The 12,584-nt window shown below is 42.9% G+C and overlaps 1 protein-coding gene and 1 long non-coding RNA gene across 9 annotated transcripts in view, besides 1 other annotated feature; one reads left to right on the top strand and one right to left on the bottom strand.

Moving 5' to 3' along the window:
* The window catches only part of LEO1 (LEO1 component of Paf1/RNA polymerase II complex), a 33,754-nt gene that overhangs the window by 16,339 nt on the left and 4,831 nt on the right, over window positions 1–12,584 (top strand). For 4 of the 6 annotated variants that reach the window (NM_001323904.2, NM_138792.4, NM_001426598.1 and 1 more), the window contains exons 7-11: window positions 865–959; window positions 2,177–2,311; window positions 3,461–3,596; window positions 5,446–5,632; window positions 8,051–8,148. In NM_001323904.2, coding sequence (NP_001310833.1) covers window positions 865–959; window positions 2,177–2,311; window positions 3,461–3,596; window positions 5,446–5,632; window positions 8,051–8,148 — 651 coding nt within the window. Of the gene's footprint in view, window positions 1–864; window positions 960–2,176; window positions 2,312–3,460; window positions 3,597–5,445; window positions 5,633–8,050; window positions 8,149–8,929; window positions 9,287–12,584 lie in introns of those variants that run through there. The other 2 variants (NM_001426597.1, NM_001286430.2) reach the window with 2 other exon arrangements.
* The window catches only part of LOC112268148 (uncharacterized), a 28,155-nt gene continuing 23,715 nt past the window's right edge, over window positions 8,145–12,584 (bottom strand). For all 3 annotated transcript variants that reach the window (XR_007064635.1, XR_002957717.2, XR_007064636.1), the window contains one exon: window positions 8,145–8,450. This is a non-coding gene — a long non-coding RNA (uncharacterized LOC112268148). The remainder of the gene's footprint in view (window positions 8,451–12,584) is intronic.
* Window positions 8,237–8,450: a silencer, noted in NCBI's record as "fragment chr15:52239187-52239400 (GRCh37/hg19 assembly coordinates)". NCBI's record gives its function as "represses an EF-1alpha promoter that drives an FKBP-Casp9 reporter gene in an ReSE screen in HepG2 liver carcinoma cells and K562 erythroleukemia cells {active_cell/tissue: HepG2 | K562}" and the evidence as "EXISTENCE:reporter gene assay evidence [ECO:0000049][PMID:32094911]".

The raw sequence follows: 12,584 nt of genomic DNA, 5'->3' as shown, positions 1-12,584 counted from the left end.
ATGCAGGTAAGATAGTTAGGCTCTAAACCTATTGAAATCTGGGGTTTTCATTTTCATAGGGCACTTATTTATCCTTATTCATATATGGGAAGTTTATCTCTCTGTGCCAATAGGCAGAGTTTTTGGTCTCATTTTTATGGAGTTTTTAGCTCTGTGAGAGAACTTGCTTTATACAGGGGTTTCACTTCAAAATTTCTTCCTCGGCCGGGCGTGGTGGCTCACGCCTGTAATCCCAGCACTTTGGGAGGCCCAGGCGGGCGGATTATGAGGTCAGGAGATCGAGACCATCCTGGCTAACACGGTGAAACCCTGTCTCTACTAAAAAATATGAAAAAATTAGCCGGGCTTGGAGGTGGGCGCCTGTAATCCCAGCTACTGAGAAGGCGGAGGCAGGAGAATGGCGTGAACCCGGGAGGCGGAGCTTGCAGTGAGCCAAGACTGCGCCACTGCACTCCAGCCTGGACGACAGAGCAAGACTCCGTCTCAAAAAAAAAAAAAAAAAAAAATTTCTGCCTCACATGGACTCAAGTTTTATCGCCTGACCCTTGTAATTCTTACTGTCTTAACACATCTCGGGGTTAGTGTACATTTAGTATCTGCCATCTGCTCAAATGCTCTAAGCTTTCTCTATGATTATGATTCTAGGAGCTCAGAAATTCACTTAAGCATATTTTTTTCCCTGCTTTTAATTTATCCAACCTCTCTAGGTGATTAAAGAGGGTTTCAGTGTTGTTCATTCTCCTGCCACACATACATCTGTCACCTCTGTATGCTTATTCTGTGATTATGTGCCTCTTGAGGAAAAACAAGATGCATAGAGTCATTTAAACTATAATTTTCTAAAGTACTTGTGTTGTGAAACAGGTAGAAAATACTATAAGATGGAGGATACGCCGAGATGAAGAAGGAAATGAAATTAAAGAAAGCAATGCTCGGATAGTCAAGTGGTCAGATGGAAGGTGAGCACAAAACGCCTGAAGGGTATTGACATACCCAGAACGGGTCAGAGGGATCAAGTTTTGAAATACTTTTTAGTTTTAAATTTATTATTAGTTTTAGAAATGGGGTCTCACTCTGTTGCCCATGTTGGAGTGTAATGACATGATAACAGCTCAGTGGAGCCTCAGACTCCTAGTCCTAAGTGATCCTCCCATCTCCCAAGTAGCTGGGACTACTTGGTGTGCACCACCCTGCATGGATTATTAAAAAAAAAAAAGAGCCAGGCACGGTGGCTCACGCCTGTAATCCCAGCACTTTGGGAGGCCGAGGTGGGTGGATCACGAGGTCAGGAGTTCAAGACCAGCCTGGCCAAGATGGTGAAACCCCATCTTTACTAAAAATTAGCTGGGTGTGATGGCGGACGCCTGTAATCCCAGCTACTCAGGAGGCTGAGGCAGAGAATTCCTTGAACCCAGGAGGCGGAGGTTGCAGTAAGCCGAGATCGCGCCACTGCACTCCAGCCTGGGCAACAGAACTAGATGCCGTCTCAAAAAAAAAAAAAAGAAAAAATTTCATAGACACAGTTCTCCATATGTTGCTTAGGCTGGTCTTGAACTCCTGGGCTCAAGCGATCCTCCCATCTCCCAAGTGCTGGGATTACAGGCGTCAACCACCGTGCCCAGCCACAAATTGACATTTTAAAAAAATTGCCCTTCACTGGGAATGTAGTAGAGCCTGGTAAACATCCCAGCATGTGTTAGTTCTTTGTAGTCCATCAGTTTTTCTCATTATGACTTCTTATTTTCGTTCCTTCCAAATTCTGTGTAAAAAGAGAGAGCAGCAGTTGAATCACCTGTTTTGTTTTGTTTTTTTTTTTCCTTGAGATGGAGTCTTGTCCTGTCGCCCAGGCTGGAGTGCAGTGGCACGATCTTGGCTCACTGCAACCTCCACTTCCCGGGTTCAAGCAGTTATCCTGTCTCAGCCTCCCGAAGGCTGGGACTACAGGGGTGTGCCTCCATGCCTAGCTGATTTTTGTATTTTTACCAGAGATGGGGTTTCACCATGTTGACCAGCCTTGTCTCAAACTCCTGACCTCGTGATCCACCTGCCTTGGTGTCCCAAAGTGCTGGGATTACACATGTGGGCCACTGTGCCCAGCCTGAATCACCTTTAAGTGAAGTAAGATGGTAGAGTGAAAGCTTTATGACTTTAATAGATGAAATGTTTCTCTTTCCAGCATGTCCCTGCATTTAGGCAATGAAGTGTTTGATGTGTACAAAGCCCCACTGCAGGGCGACCACAATCATCTTTTTATAAGACAAGGTACTGGTCTACAGGGACAAGCAGTCTTTAAAACGAAACTCACCTTCAGGTAACTGTTATTATTATTATGTATTATTTCTTATGGTAAAAGCAGTGAAACATAGATGTTTCTGTAATGCCTGCCACCTGATTGATGTAACCCCACGGTATGATTCAGCAAGAACCAAGATCTTGTGCATAGTTCTGAAGGTTCAAAGGTTATTTTGTCAAATACACTAAAAGTTGCTGTTTCTTAGGGAACCAGGTCATGCTAACCAGACTTACAAGAGACTGTTAGGTAAACCAGAATGTCAATGTATTTAATTCCAGTGGTTATTATAACTGCCAAGAGGCCTAAAATACGTGTGTCTGCTAGCCAGTGTGTCCTTTGTTTTTAGTAAAATTGACCTGGGAGACTAATAACTAGAGGTTGTTGTTGTGCATGCAATCGAAGGAAAGCCAGCAAGTTGGTCAGTGTGAGACGGGCCATCTCAGTGCCGTAGGCCCCGGCATCTAATACCACTGCAGAGGTGTGTCCCCCAAGAGGACAGGAATACTCAGCTGGTGAGGGCACTTTCCTTCTCTAGACTGAGTATGTGCTGCACTGAGATGTTCATGCTTCTCTTTCTTGATTATAAGCAGACCATCCTCTTTGGGTAATGCTTATCTTTAGAGGGGGCACAATAATGTTGGTTATGATTTAGCTTTTTGAAATTATAAAGGTTAACATACAGGCTTTGGAATCAGTTAGACTCATATTTGAATTCCATTTCTACTTGTGTGACCTTGTGCCACTTTCTTAACCTCTTTTTGCCTCAGTTTCCTAAATCTATAAAATAGGATAATTATATTAATATTAATATATTAATATTAATTAAAAGTAATGGCAAAAACCGCAATTACTTTTGCACCAACCTGTAGTATCTAATTAATGTTGCTTGAGCGTATCCATTTATTGCTTCTAGAAGGTGATCATGCCATACAATCTTTTTTACTCCAACCTTCTGTTTTTCATTTGTGGAATAAGAATGTCTCAGTGAGCCACAGAATGAAGAAAACTCACAATCTTCCACCTTGGTATATTCAGTCGAGTGTCTCTGCCTATTTTTTCAGGTGACTAGGAAATGGTCACTGGGCTCTTACTTCTGTGACGTGGGTATCACTGGCTCACAAATGTATTTGGTAAACAGTGATATGCTCTTCGTTTATTTCCTGGCAGACCTCACTCTACGGACAGTGCCACACATAGAAAGATGACTCTGTCACTTGCAGATAGGTGTTCAAAGACACAGAAGATTAGAATCTTGCCAATGGCTGGTCGTGATCCTGAATGCCAACGCACAGAAATGATTAAGGTATGTTTGCTAAGCCTAAGCGTTATCCTGGGATTCTTTGGTATATTAGGCAAGTATTTCCCAAAATGCTTGTTCGTCATCTCTTATTGGCCTACCTTTTCCTCTTCCAACTGACATGAATAGGGAGCTGGATTCATTTCCTCAGCATTTGCCAAACAATTGGTGACGTGGCAATGATAGTAAAACAGAAACAGGGCTCAGGTTCTCTCTTCACCAGGCCCTGAGAGTTCAGCAACAAACCGGTGATTGAAATATCTGAATTTTCATGTATAAGTTCAAAGATCATTAAGTCATCTATGTGTGGTTTAGAATCCATGTCAGAAGTCAGTGGAGATACTAGAGAGTAGTGTAAAATAGAGAATAGACCAGGAGTTTGAATGAGAGAGTGCCTAAAGTAGACTCTGGTAAAGAATAAGACGAGCTTATGAGTTTTTAAGGTCAATTTGTAACATTCTACCTGGTATATTTTCAAATTTGACCCAGCTGTTAATTAGGCACAAGTTTATTTGGGGCATTGTACCTAATCGATAGAGCATGTGCTCATATTGGCTATTGGCCTTTCCTGCAGCACTTGATTTGAGAAGCCATATGCAGTAGTACAGGCTCATCATTTCTCCTCTCCATCTTCTCTAATCCCTACTAGATTTTGGCCTTTGCCCACCCTGCCTCTTGTGATTACGTTGTTTAGTGAAGCAGGGCATGGTGAGGCTAAGACAGTCCAGTTACCTCAGGGCCTTTCTTACAAATCTTATGGTCAGGCTCTGCTGAAGGTTTGGCTCTGAGCCCTTGCTTTTTCCTCCATCCTGTATTTGTTCATGGAGACAGATTAAACCAGATCTAATAGCAGTACCTAACCTAGTGGTATATAGCGGCATTTGCTTTGGAGCTGGGCTTGTTCCATTTCCCCACCTTTTCTGTACAGACTAAGGGAACTGGAGGAACCTGCAGATTCCAGTCTCAGCATTATTGGAGAAGCTCTTGAACCACTTTGAGCATCTCCCCACACCCTCCTCCATGTCCCCAGCTCCTGTGAAAATGTAGACTAGGAGTCAGCTGGTTTGTTCTTAGTCCCTGTACTACTGACAGTGATTTTTACTCTAACCTCCGTACAGCCACATACTATTAAAACAATCTGTTCCATAGAATTTCTAGCAATATAATTGGAGTTGTATATGATAATACAGAGCAACGGGATGAGGAAGACCTTCAAAGAAATCCCAGAATATCCCTGAAACCTACTCCAACACCACCCCTACCCCCAACCTGGTTTAACATCAAGGTGCAGAATGCCAGGCAGTGCAAAGGAAATGAAAGGTCTACCTTGTGGCTCTAGGACGCTCCCCAACCTGTCATCAGGAGCCGTGAGGAGCTCTCTGGGTTGAGGGGCTGAGGGGCTGGGACCAGAATATCTGGGAACTATGGGAGTTTGGTAGAGCTGGGGCAGATCAGTTGTCTGTGGTTCAGGGATGAACAGGAACAGCCACTGCTGCTCCAGGGAGTCAATTTAGGTTTCTGCTGGGCATGAATGGGGTTTCTCAGGCGGGTTGCTTCTCTCTGGGTTAAGTGGCAGCACAGAACACCAGCACAGCTCCCGAGGACACACCTGTGCCAATGCCAGTTGGGCCGGTTAGTGTCAGGGCTCCCTTCTGCCGCTTTACCCTTGTGTTGCCTTTGCTCCTGCAAACCAAACCAGAGGGTCCCTGTGGAGCCACAGAGGTGGGATGGGGAACACACACGGCACAGCTGTTATCTGGACCAGACATTACATGCTATTTGTAATAAAAGTGGGTTCAAGTGGGCACAAAAGTAGCTCCTTTTTAGGTTAAAGAGGTTATTTGCTTCTTTACAGAAAGAAGAAGAACGTTTGAGGGCTTCCATACGTAGGGAATCTCAGCAGCGCCGAATGAGAGAGAAACAGCACCAGCGGGGGCTGAGCGCCAGTTACCTGGAACCTGATCGATACGATGAGGAGGAGGAAGGCGAGGAGTCCATCAGCTTGGCTGCCATTAAAAACCGATATAAAGGGGGCATTCGAGGTGAGTCGTGTATGGAAATTACATTTCATCATTTCGGGATTCTGGACTTCATCTTGGCATTAGATGTAATCCGGCTGCCAAGTCACTGGACTTTTTTTTTTTTTTTTTGAGACGGAGTCTCGCTCTGTCACCCAGGCTGGAGTGCAGTGGTGTGATCTCGGCTCACTGCAACCTCTGCCTCCTGGGTTCAAGTGATTCTCCTGCCTCAGCCTCCCGAGTAGCTGGGATTACAGGTGTGCGCCACCACACCTGGCTAATTTTTGTATTTTTAGTAGAGACGGGGTTTCACCATGTTGGCCAGGCTGGTCTCAAACTCCTGACCTCAAGTGATCTGCCCGCCTTGGCCTCCCAAAGTACTGGGATTACAGGCATGAGCCACTGTGCCTAGCCCGGACATTTTATTTTTAAAGAACGAGTTGTCATGAGTGACCTAGTTCATTCAGGTGAGCTTGAAAGGTAGGAACTGCTGTTGTTCCTACTTTGGGTTTTATCCCTTGAGCTTTTGCTTTCTGACTTGAGAATTTGCCAGTTATACTGGAACTTTTGTCAACCTTTTTTATTACCTAATTGGGAATCAAGAAATTAAACTATTCAGAAATTATGTGATATTTTCTTTCATTCTTCTTCTACATTTCTCTTAGATTTACTTTTGCATATTTCCTCCTTTCACAAGTATCACTGATTTCTGATGGTTAACGTTTTTTCCACACATACTGAATTTCAGGCAAATGCTCAACACTTGACATGCATCCTGTTTGATCCTCATAACAACATTATGATCTAGTTGCTCTTATTTCCTTGTTTTTATTGAGGAAACTGAGACTTTGAGAGGTTGACTAATTTGCCCAAAGGCACGTAGTTGCTAACTGGTCAGTTCTTAAACCAAAGTCATCTGACTTCCGAGACATCTGTCCCAGCCGTGACTCTGCATCCACCTGGTTCTTACCCAGGGGTTCCCCCAAGCCAGTAGCAAGACGACATGGTGAAAAGCGAACTAAGAAGACCTGGCTGGCCTTCTGACCCTGCCCGCTCTCATCTGAGTCCTGCCACTTTTTAGTTGTATAACTTTTGAAGAGTTACATAGTTTCCCTTAACTTCTGTTACCTCATTGTGACAAAAACAACCTATTAATAATGGTAGTTAGAACATAAGGTTGTTTTGAAGATTACATAATATAATACATTTAAAGTACTTAGCCCAGAGCCTGGCATATAACAAGTAAATTTTTAAAACACCCAAATTTATTTTTCTCTGACTGTCCCATGAAACTCATTTCTCCTTTTCTTATAGTGACTGCATTTGGTCTGGTGACCTGTTACATATTACCTACCTATTATTTATTTGGGGACCACAGTACAGAGACCCTTTCTTTTTTGTCAATGCTGATTTCCCATAGAAAAAGATTCAATTGTGTGGAAATAAACCACACAAAAATTAAATAAAAATTTTAAAAATCCAAGGATGCTTTAAGAGAGAGAGGTGTGTAACATTCAGGTCACCAGAGATTAAAAATCTAGCACATGAGTCTAGTAGTGCTCAGTTCCATACAGTAATCAGATAGGCAAGGTGTGGGGACAAAGGGAAGGCTTTGGGTTTTGACGGGAGGGGCTTGGTCTAAAGTCCTCGGCTCTTATTCCACCCAGAGGTTCACCTGGGCTTGGGCAGTGGAGCAGATGGGCGCCCCTCTACATCTCTCTTTGAAAGGTCTGCCTGGCAACAAACGGTCTTTACAGGACCAGGAAACCACTTTCTTGCTTTACCTTCAAACTCATTTTGGAATTAACTGTTACTGGTGGAAGAATGTCTCAGGCTTTAATAGTTGACTTCGTAAGAGTAGGGTATCTTGCCTCTTTAGACACCTTGCACACAAACCTTTTTCATCTTTAAAAGTGGTCAGGTTTTTGTATTTTGAGAGGGTAAGTCTGCTTCATTTCCGCATATCTAAAATTTATACTTATCTTTAAATCAAAAACTTTAAAATTATTTGGTTCCCCTGGGAGGAAATATACAGAGGGAACTAAAGATATTTATCAGAAGAAAACATTTAAGAATGAATAGGTCACTGTCTTTGAAAGTTACTCACAGTTGGACACAGTGGCTCACGCCTATAATCCCAGCACTTTAGGGGGCTGAAGAAGGAGGATCGCTTGATTTTAGGAAGTTCAAGACCAGCCTGGGCAACATGGCAAGACTTCATCTCCACTAAAAAGAAAAAAAAAATCAGCTGGGCATGGGTAGGTAGTGCACACCTGTGGTCCCACCTACTTGGGAGGCTGAGGCAGGAGGATCACCTAAGCCCAGGAGGTCAAGGCTGCAGTGAGCCATGATTGTGCCACTGCACTCCAGCCTGGGCCTCAAAGCAAGACCCTGTCTCAGAAAAAAAAAAAGGTGACTCACAATCTGTACTTTTGCTTTCAGAGGAACGAGCCAGAATCTATTCATCAGACAGTGATGAGGGATCAGAAGAAGATAAAGCTCAAAGATTACTCAAAGCAAAGAAACTTACCAGTGATGAGGTAAGACCAAATTTATTCAATTCTAGGGGTTTATCCTGTACTCAGGAGCCAACTGCTTTGAATGAAGAGCTCACAGATCAGGCAGGCACAAATTAGTTGTCTACACACGTCACTGAAATCCAGTGAGATAAATGCAGTAACAAGACAGAGTGATCCAGAGGAGGATCTGATACCTGTGCTTAGAGAGGTCTTAGAAGGCTGCATGGAGGATAAGACTTCTTGCTGGGTGTTGAAGAGTGATCAGAAGCTTGCTGGTCAAACTGTCCTGTCTCTGGTAGGTCACTCCGGATAGATGGAAAGGCCTGGAAGAAAAGGTGCAGGTCCCTGACATACCAAGGCTAATCCAAGAGAGAATGACAGATCATTCAGTGTGGTAGACCAGAGGGTGTATCTCCTTTTTGTAAAACTTCTCAGTATTTTTTTTTTAAATTAGGAAAATAATTCATTCTTGGTTGGATGCAGTGGCTCATGCCTGTAATCCCAGTATTCTGGGAGGGCTAGGCAGACAGATTGCTTGAGCTCAGGAGTTTGAGACTAGACTGGGCAATATAGGGAGACCCCATCTCTCCAAAAAAATACAAAAATTAGCTGGATGTAGTGGTGTGTGCCTGTAGTCTCAGCTACCAGAGTCTTGAGGTGGGAGGATTGCTTGAGGCTGCAGTGAGACATGATTGCACCACTGCACTCCAGCTTAGGCAAAAGAGTGAGACCCTGTCTCAAAAAAAAAAAAAGAAAATGATTTCATTCTTATGTTGGGAAAACCTATTTTCTTTTTATTTAGATGAAACAGTATTTGGCCGGGCATGGTGGCTCATGGCTGTTAATCCCAGCACTTTGGGAGGCCGAGGCAAGCGGATCACCTGAGGTTGGGAGTTCGAGACTAGCCTGACCAACATGGAGAAACCTCGTATCTACTAAAAATACAAATTAGCAGGGCGTGGTGGCGCATGCCTGTAATCCTAGCTACTCTCAGCCTCAGGAGACTGAGGCAGGAGAATTGCCTGAACCTGGGAGGTGGAAGTTGCAGTGAGCCGAGATCGCGCCATTGTGCTCCAGCCTGGGCAACAGGAGTAAAACTCCATCTCAAAAAGTATTTGAAATTGTATTGAGTAATTTAATAAATTGAAATAAATTTTCATTTATTATTGACATAAATTATTTCAAGATAATTTAAAAATATTTTATCTTATTTTTAAACAGCATCTTTTTCATATTATAAGAGAATAGGCCCTGAGAATTTTTCTTTTTCTTTTTTTTTAAGACAGAGTCTCGCTCTGTTGCCCAGGCTGGAGTGCAGTGGCGTGATCTCGGTTCACTGCAAGCTCTGCCTCCTGGGTTCATGCCATTTTCCTGCCTCAGCCTCCCGAGTAGCTGGGACTACAGGCGCCTGCTACCATGCCTGGCTAATTTTTCGTATTTTTAGTAGGGATGGGGTTTCACTGTGTTAGCTAGGATGGTCTCAATCTCCTGACCTTGTGATCTGCCTGCCTCAGCCTCCCGAAGTGTTGGGATTACAGGCGTGAGCCAGTGCGCCTGGCCTCTTTTTCTTAACACTCCAGTGAGTATTTAACACCCCACTGGGTGATGTGGAGATACTGAGAAATTTAAAGTTTTCATTATACCAGTGAAATACTATATAAAGTAAAATACTATATATGGTATAACAGATGGTGAAAAGTGATAAGGAGACAAATTATGCAGGAAAACGATATAGAGAATGCTCTGGGGGGTCTTGGGAGTTGGGATGTTATACTTTTAGAAATGCTGTTCAGGGAAGCTCTCACTGGAATGGTGATCTTTGAGTAAACGTCTGAAGGTAGTGACAGTGAACTCTTCAGCTCTCTGGAGAGTGTTGCATGCAGAATTAGGAAGTGCATAGGCCCTGAGGTGGGAACCTGCCTGGCATGTGTGAAGAAAGCACAGAGGCTGAAGCTGGAGCCTTGTGAGTGAGAGGAAGAGGGCAGAAATATGATAGGGCCAGGTCACCTAGGGCCTCACACCATTTGTAAGGCTTTTTTTTTTTTTTTTTGTATTTTTTGTAGAGATGGGGTTTCAGCATGTTGCCCAGGCTGGTCCCGAATTCATGGGCTCAAGCAGTGTGCCTGCCTCAACTTCCCAAAGTGCTGGGATTACAGGCATAAGCCACTGCGATGGACTGTTTTATTTTGGTTTTTTATTCTGAGTGGTTTTCATTGGAAGTTTTCAGCAGAGGAGAGAAGATATGATTTAACTCTTAGTAGGATCACTGACTGCTTTGTTGAGAGTATGTTGATTGTGCCTGTGAAATAATGGCCTTACCTGTTTCCCAGGTATCTATAGATCAAGGTAGCATAGCAGAGCTGAGAGAGTAGAGGCTTTGGAGTCTTAAAAGACTACCTAGGTTGGAATCCTGCTTCTACCACTGAAATCTTTTATCTTAAATGTCTGGCTTTTCTGAACCTCATTTTTCTCTCAGCGTTGCTGTAAAGTTAAAATTTTATATCATATCATGTGTATAAATTAATATAAAGTTTTATTACACATAGTATATATGAAAAGTATATATTTATATTATGAAGATATCATTACTATTTCAAAATGTGATGAAATTGGAATTGTTAAAAGGCACATGGAAACAGACTGTTGACCATTTCAGTTTGTTCTCTGACAAGTAGGCCTAAACTCTCTAAGATAAGGACTTCCCTTAAGTTTCATTCAGGAGTAAATCAGTAATGTACCAGACAGCATGATTATTAGCAATTAAAAATTATAAATAATTTTTTAAAAATTCTTATTTCTATCCTTTACCCTAACTGGTACCTTTGTAAAGCTATGTAGCTGAAATTCCTATTTTCTTCTTTGGTATCTTTATCTGAAATATATTTTACCCTCTTGAAACATTTTCAGTGGTTGTGCAATTTTAGGGCAATTTTCTTTCAGGAGATTTTTGGCTTCCATTATTATTATTGAAAAATGAGCTTTCTAATGGTGATTTCTTTTGGCACTTTGAATATGCCATCCTCTGCCTTCTGCCCTCCATTGTTCTGATGAGAAGCCAGCTCTTTATCGTCTTGAGATTCCCTTGCATGTGACAAGTCATTTTTCTCTAGCTGCTTTCAGGAAGTTTTCTGTCTTTCAGCATTTTTACTGTGATGTATCTGCACGTGGTTCTCTTTGCATTTATTCTACTTGCAATTTGTTGAGTTTCTTGGATGTGTAGGGTAATGTTTTTCAACAAATCTGGGAAGTTTTCAGTCACTGTTTCATTTAATATTTTTTCTGCTGTTTTCTGTCCTCTCCTGCCATTCCCATTAGGTGTATGTTGGTGTGTTTAGTGGTGTCTCACATTTCTCTGGGACTATTCATTTTTCTTCATTCTGTTTTCTCCGTTCTTCAGATTGCATAATCTCTGTCGATCCATCAAGTCTGCTGATCCTAGTTCAAATCTACTATTGTGCTGTTCTGGTCACATTTCATTTCAGTTACCCTTTCAGTGTAAGAATTCCCATTTGGTACCTTTTTTTTTTTTTTTTTAATCACTTCTCTCACTTTAGTGATATTCTGTCTTGCTAATACATTGTTATCATGCCTTTCTTTCTTTCTTTTTTTTTTTGAGACAGGGTCTCACTCTGTTGCCCAGGCAGGGGTGCGGTGGTGCGATCTCGGCTCCCTGCCACCTCCATCTCCCAGGTTTAAGCGATTCTCCTGCCTCAGCCTCCCAAGTAGCTGGGATTACAGGCACATGCCACCATGCCTGGCTAATTTTTGTACTTTTAGTAGAGACGGGGTTTCACCATGTTGGCCAGGCTGGTCTCGAACTCCTGACCTTGTGATTCACCTGCCTCAGCCTCCCAAAGTGCTGGGATTACAGGTGTGAGCCACTGTGCCTAGCCTATTTTTAAATTTATTTTATTTTATTTATTTATTTATTTTTGAGATGGATTTTCACACTGTCGCCCAGGCTGGAGTGCAGTGGCGTGATCTTGGCTCACTGCAACTTCCGCCTCCCGAATTCAAGCGATTCTCCTGCCTCAGCCTCCCAAGTATCTGGGATTACAGGTGCCCGCCACCACGCCTGGCTAGTTTTTTGTATTTTTAGTAGACATGGGGTTTCACTATGTTGGCCAGGCTGGTCTTGAACTGCTGACCTCATGATCTGCCCGCATTGGTCTCCCAAAGTGCTGGGATTACAGGTGTGAACCACCACGCCCAGTCTATTTTTTATACACAGAGGGTCTCACTTTGTTGCCCAAGCTGGTCTCAAACTCCTGAGCTCAAGGGATCCTCTCACCTCAACCACCCAAAGTGCTGGGATTACAGGCGTGAGCCACTGTGCCTGGCACTAGACAAAATTTGTTTGTTGTTTTTTTTTTGGTTTTTTTTTTTTTTTTGAGACAAAGTCTCATTCTGTTGCCCAGGCTGGATTGCAGTGGTGCCATCTTGGCTCACTGCAACCT

Source organism: Homo sapiens, chromosome 15 (genome assembly GCF_000001405.40).
Source record: "Homo sapiens chromosome 15, GRCh38.p14 Primary Assembly".
Taxonomy (NCBI): Eukaryota; Metazoa; Chordata; class Mammalia; order Primates; family Hominidae; genus Homo; species Homo sapiens.
Note: the sequence above shows the minus strand (reverse complement) of the source record. Positions and strands in the feature narration are given on the sequence as shown.